The sequence below is a fragment of the Homo sapiens genome, chromosome 5, assembly GCF_000001405.40.
Source record: "Homo sapiens chromosome 5, GRCh38.p14 Primary Assembly".
Taxonomy (NCBI): domain Eukaryota; kingdom Metazoa; phylum Chordata; class Mammalia; order Primates; family Hominidae; genus Homo; species Homo sapiens.
Window position 1 is genome coordinate 165884673 of NC_000005.10, and position 7065 is coordinate 165891737.

The window sequence follows — 7065 nt, forward strand, 5'->3', positions numbered from 1 at the left end:
GATTTTATTTAGGTTTTTTTTTGTTTTTTTTTTTTTTCTATTTAAGTTCCTATGTTCGAATGATTGAGTGACTCCTGGAAACTCCGCTCTCAGGGGCAGAGAAACAGATGGCCAAGATCATCCAAAGTTCACCTAATACATTTCCCTTGTCTTCAAATCATTCCAAACAATTCGCTCGCATTGCAGAAGGGTTAGATTGGATTAAAAATAAGCTTTTTCTAATTTCGTGAACGTTCTTTAAAAAAAAAGAAAGAAAAGAAAAAGAACATTTGAAACTACACCAAGACCAAGAACTCATTTCAAATACCCATGATTACCAGTTGGGAATCTGTAATTCCAAACATTCAGTTGTGTGGGTATGGCCATTTGCTATAGACGTCAGGGATAGCCTACACATTTTGGCAATGCAGGATCTTGATACTACGTAGAATCTACAAAGTTGAACTCATAGAAACAAAGAGTAGAACAATGTTGTCAGGGGCTCAGATTGGGTAAAACAGAGAGTTGTTTGTCAAAGGGCACAAAATTTTAGTTGAAAGATAAAAAGTTCTGGAGATCTGATGTATAGCATGGTGACTACAGTTAATAATACTGAATTGCAAACAAGTATTACTCTTAAGATTTGGAAATCATTTTTAAATAGCAGTCATATAATGTGTCAGGCTTACTAAAAGAATTGTAAGTATATTAAACTTTTTCACTAAAAGTCAGTGAGACTAACTCATCTGGCTATTTATCATAAACCAGTTGTGCTTTAACCAAATCAGTCAACACATGGAAGCTTCTCAGAACTCATGTGTCTTCAGTCGCCAAGTCTTTAGGTCCAGACAGGTTCAGGGAAGGCTTGGTACATAACCTTTTTGACAATCCAACTGTGCTTTCTCTCTACTATTTTGGAGCCAGTACACCTGGGGTAAGCTGTTCCAAGCAAAGTGCAAGGGCATATCAAACCCTCACCTTTCTCCTCACTTACAGTTTAAGCAGAAGAACGTGTTCAGGCTTCCCACTGCTACATTTCAGAATTTTATTGGTGTGGGAGGCTTCCCAAATGAGTATTTCAAGTGACAGATGATTTTGTTGTGCCCCTTCTCCACAGCATCAATATCCGCTATTCTATGGAGGATTAACTAGAGTAAGCACCCTGCAGTCACTGGTTATGAATTGTAAATGTGTGACGATTATGGCTCTTAAGGCACAAAACATACTTTTTATAGTGATTTGTGGGGCCCATTTTTATTGAGAATGAGCTTAACATTGCCAGATTCATTAGCTACTTGAGCTACGCTGGTCAGATCCTTTGTGTGTTCGCGCATTAGGCTTTCTTAATCAGAGAAATAAGCTTACATAATTTCTTTTAAATTATGTGTAGTAGGGAAGGAGGTATGCAACACAGGAAGGTTTGTGAGAAAAAAAACTATAAAGTAGAAATGCCAAGAGCGAATTCACATTAAAAAATATTTAATGAGCAATAAAATGCTTCTGTAGCGGTTCCAAGGGATGCGCAGCGTGGTCCGGGGAAGGAGCAGTGTGTGCCAGTAATTCCTCTTGAGAACGGTATAATTTAGAGAGTCCAATTGCTTTCTGCTTCTCAGGTCCCCTTGTCTGATTCTTTTCTCTCTTCTTTTTTTCCTGTTTGGAGTTAGGAACAGTAAACTGATACTGATATATTTTCCAGCAAAGATAATTTTGAGGGCTGAGTGTTACCTCATCATCTGCAAGGAGAATCTCTGTGCATGACAAACTGAAAGATATTTTTCCTGTGAAAGGAGTATCATATACATAAGAGCAGAAAAAGCAGAAAGTATAAGAACATTCCTTCAGGATATCCCTCAAGTTTTTAAAAATTTTCATATATCCATCAAATTAATGAAGTATTTGAGTATGTGTCTGTATGTATGTGTGTATTATATTTAATGATGTGATTTTTATAGCACTTATATATAAAGTTATACATAGAATTATATGAATTACATAATATACAAATGAGATGATATTTATATTAATAAGTTAATGTCATTGGCATTTACTCAATAAACTTTCATTGTGCCAGACATGCCCACTGGGTTTGGAGATTCAATGATAAAACCAACCCTTCACCTCCAGGAACCTGCATTCTAATTGGGTTGTGAGTTGTTAATTAAAAAGTGACCCAAATTGTAGTATAATTAATATTTGTTCAATGAAGGAGCGGTATATGGCATTATGAAAGCATTTAACAAGGTGGGTGAACTGGCCTGTTTCCTGGCTCCCATAATAAATCACATCAAATCGGCCCTTCAACTTCTGTTAGGGCATTAGTGGTTCAGCCTAATACTTCAGAGTGGTCAAGGCATGAGAACAACATTGCTCTCCACTTCATCCATATTCAGGTGCTCTTAGGTCCATCCCACATAAAGAAAGCTGAGGCACAGAACAAAACTGTACATTGTCTCTGAGCTCTTGTGGATGATGTCCTTCAGCTCAGGATGATGTCCTTCAGCTGAGTTCCACCATTCCCAACTTCCCTTCTTTCGATGGTTAATTTCATGTGCTAACGTGGCTAGGCTTTGTGTCCAGTTGCTTGGTCAAACACTAATCTAGATGTTGCTATGAGGGCATTTCTTAGAGGTGACTGAACAATTACAATCATTTAACCTGAAACAAAGCAGATCACTTCCATAATCTGGGTGGGCCTCATCCAATCAGTTGAAGGTCTTCAGAACACAAACTAGGGTTTCCCAGAGAAGGAGGAATTCACCCTCAAAACCATAACATAAGAAATCCTTCCTGAGTTCCCATCCTGCTGGTCTGTCTGATGAACTTTAGATTCAAGACTGCAACATAAACCCTTATCTGAATCTCCAGGCTGCCATGCTGCCCTACAGATTTTGGACTGCCAGACTCCATAATCATGTGATCTAATTCCTTAAAATAAATCTCCCTCTCTATATATATTCCCAAGTGGTTCTGTTTCTTTGGAGAACCCTGACTGATATTCTCATAAACTACAAAATAAATTACCTGCAGTTGGTTTCCATAAAGCAGGGACTGAGATAAAGCATTATGTGCAAATGATCTATTGAGGAGGTACTTTAAGGAGAAATCGGTCAGGGAGGAGGCGGGGGGGATAGAAGAGGGAAGGGAGGAATCCCATTCCAGCAAGGGAGCAATTTCAGATAAAGGCCTATTCTTGACCTGGTTTCATGAGGAGCTCTGGAGAGTAAATTGTACCCTAGAGTTGGTGCTACCTTGAGAAAAGGTAGCTGACCTTTTATATTCTGCAGCAATCAGTCATTGGGTAAGTGTTGGTGGGGCCCTGTATACTCCTAGGTAGTGCTGACTTTCTGTGTTGCTGGTACAAGTTGTTGGAAGCAAAGTACAAAGACGCTGAAGGTTGAGTGTATAAAATAGTAAGCTGGATCTTCGGGGATGTGGGTGAAGCATGGACAGTCCCACTCTATAGACAGTTAATAAATTTGGTTGAGTTGGCCTAAGCCGTGCTATGTGCCAACTACTTTAATGTGCAGTGCTAAATCATATAATGATAGATTAAACATAGAATTTAATATGACTATATATCTCTTACACAGGAAATAAATATTCCTCCTTTTCCTATTTCTGAAGAACAAGAAAAGAATTGTAGGTCAACTACCATCACCATAGTCAGACAATAGTTTCACCCTACTATGTTCCCAGCATAGTGCTGGATACTGAGGAACATACACAGAAGTATTAAGACCTGTTCCCTGCTCCCTAGAAGTTCAGAAATTTACATAGGAAAATCATGTAAGTGTATTTTTAGTATCTGAATGAAGTTTCAGCCTCTTCCTTATTTGTGATATGGGAATAATAGTGATATCTGTCTCATCTGACTGATATGATAATTAAATAAACACATTCAAAATGGTTAGCACAGAGAAAAGCACATAAATGAAAATTATTTCTACTTTTTATTCTTTTGCCAGACTATAAGCTGCATGAAAGCAGAGATCTTGCTTTCCAGGCTAATTCCCCCCAGCCATCGCCAGAGTCTAGCACAGTTCCTAACTTGTAACAGGCATTTCATACGTATTTCAATGAATAGGAGATGTGAACTAATGAATTTTCATCTCTTTTCTGTCTCTTCTAATGTTGTAACTTTTATTTTTAAACATAGGATTCTCAAGGGCAAAGAATTAATGCTAGTTATAAGTTATGTACAGTTGGCACTTAATGTTAAGTAATAATATTTGAGTCAATTTGATATATTTATTGTTCTTCAGGGAGGTACCCATTGTTTATTAGCCTTTAGGAGATGTCTTAATTGTAAGGGAAAATAGAAGACACATGGGGTGCAGGTATTCGCTGAGCTGTTCAGTGAACTACATTACTGAAATGTTGCCAAACACTAAAGTTCTATTCAGAATTGTTAATCAGTCTGCATATTCTTGTCTCATCTTCAAAGTTACTAACTGCATATCATCATCTATTTCTTATGATTGTTCAAAGTATAGCTAATTAAATTGTCCTTCTCTACCTGAAATGTGCTCCTCTCTTGACAAGCTAAAGCTGTACCCAGGTAAGGGGGCTCCTTATATGTTCATTCATTGATTTGCTTTTCAGATTTGTATGCCCCCATTGTGCTGGGCACAGTGAAATACTTTGAAAATGAAAAGGTGAATAAAAGTGCCTCTCCTCAGGTGATTCAGACATTGGTAGGGGATCATATTTTTCAGATTTTCTATTGTGGCACATAACAACAATAAATTTGGTGAACAAATCTTAAATGTATAACATATAACCACCACCTATATTTTTAAAAAAAATTATTCCAGAAGGCTCCTACCTGCTCCTTCTCAGTCAATAATTCCCCACCAAGAAAGATCTACCACTCTGACTTCTAGCACCTCAGATTAGATTTACTTGCAAAGAGACATTTAAAGGATCGTTTTGATACTATTTTGAAAGTACTATACAAAGATGGGTCCAAGGAGATGTTAGATCATAGTGAAGCAAAAGAGATCCCAGGAAGGGGAAGAATGTAAATCTTCATAGAGAAATGACATTTCAATTATATGTAGAATAATATGTACAATTTAGGCAATGAAAAATGTGGTGGAGAGGGACTTCAATGCACCAAAAGTGGCATGCGCTGAGAGCATTTTGTGTTCAGTAGGTGGCAGGTAGATCACTTTGTTAAACAGTGGGTCAATGGGAGGAGAGACGTGGGGTATCAGCGAGAAAGATTAATTGGCATCAGATATAAGACTTTTTGTAACATGTTGGGAGTTTTTCATGTCATAAGCAACAGGAGGCTAGGATTGGTCTAATTTGAGTGAAGAGATTTGGAAAGGAATAATGTGAAGAAAACTAACAGAGTGCAGAGGCCACATTTCCCACTGAAGAAGAAAGTGATAACAGAATCATAATGCCGCAATGGTAACTCCACTGTCTGTTTCTAAGTAGTGGGTTTCCAGGTCTTAAAATTCTAATTGCACAGGGGTACTATAGGAAGCATTAGAGTCTTTGTAACAGAAAATGCTCACATGTTTAAATGAATTGGGAAGTATACGGTTGTCTGACATGAGGAGATCAAAGGATGACGGGCTGGCTTTATGCGCTTTCATGAGCGTGTGCTCACACTCAACATGATAGGGACTAATGGGGTGTCTCCTTTAAATGTCCCTCAGTTTTTTTGGTTAATCTGGAAAGGAGAGGGTAGAGAAGATACTGGTAGAATGATGCAATCCTTTCCATGAGGTGAATAACCTGATATAATGACTATTATGCTTTCTTTCTTCCCTAAATCACCTCATTTTTTTTTTTTTCCTACCTGATACAGTGGTCCTAGGACCAGGACTGCAACTATAAGTGCTGGAAGCAGGGATGATTCCTAAGCAAAAAACTGCGGCTATGTTTTCAAACCTTATGTCAGCATTTCTAAGGCCCTGATGAGAAAGTGTTGTGCCTTCACCCCATCTGCCAAAATTGGGTCTCAGAGTGAATGCAGCTATAATGACTGGTGGTAAAAAATAAATAAATAAAAATAGACAACTAGTTCGGCTAGTTACTTAACCTATCTGAATGCGAGTGGACTGAGGAGGAGGTAATTGCTAGACTAGTGAAAATGTGTGGGTATTAATGGACAGAAGGAGGAATAGTAGCTGAGAGTAAAGAAGTGAATACATTAGTTATGAATTGATGGAAATCCAATCTTCACACCTCAAAAGAGCCTAGAGCAAGAGATTGTATTGTCTCCTAGCTCAATTCTAACCAGATGCATAAAAGGGTAAAGCTACATGTTTGCCAAGCCCACGCTGCTTTGGGGACCTGAGAGGAAGAAATGGAAGCCTGAAAACCTGAATGACCCCACTCTGGGAGATATTTTCATGCCATATGATGAACTGGACTAATTATTAATGACTGAGTGGGATTCTAATAATATGGCAGTCTCTTTTGAGTTATATATCCTTTTGACGTAAGAGATTCATGTTTGAAGACCAAGGGCTGACCATGATTTTGTGAAATTTATACTTGGTCTCTGTCCCTGTTTCCTGGCATGCAACTCCTAAAATCCTTAGAATCTCCAAAGTGATGTCTTTTTGCTTGCTACTGAGTTGACTGATGGCTGGCAGCCTGTTGGTAGCTTCAGGATGGGGCTGGTCACCAGAAAGATGAAGACAGAGTTAGAGGGTTGGGACTTTCACCCCCACCTCCTCAACCTCTAGGGAGGAGACAGGACTTTAAGGTTGTAATGATCACCAATGTCCAATGGGATTAATCAGTCATGCCTATGTAATGAAGCCTCCATAAAAACCCGAAGGACAGGGTTCAGGGAGCTTCTGGATAGCAAAATACTTGGATATCCTGGAGGATGTTACACCTGGAGAGGGCCTGGGGCCTTCTTACCCCTTTCCATGTGCCTTGCCCTATGCATCTCTTGACCTGTATCGTTTGTAATATTCGTTGTAATAAACCAGGAAAGGTATTTCCTTCGATTCTGTGAGCCCTTCTAGCAAATTAATTGAACCCAAGGATGGGGTTATAGGAACCCCAATTTATAGCCAGTAGGTCAGAAGCTCAGGCTTGTGATTGGCATCAGCAGTC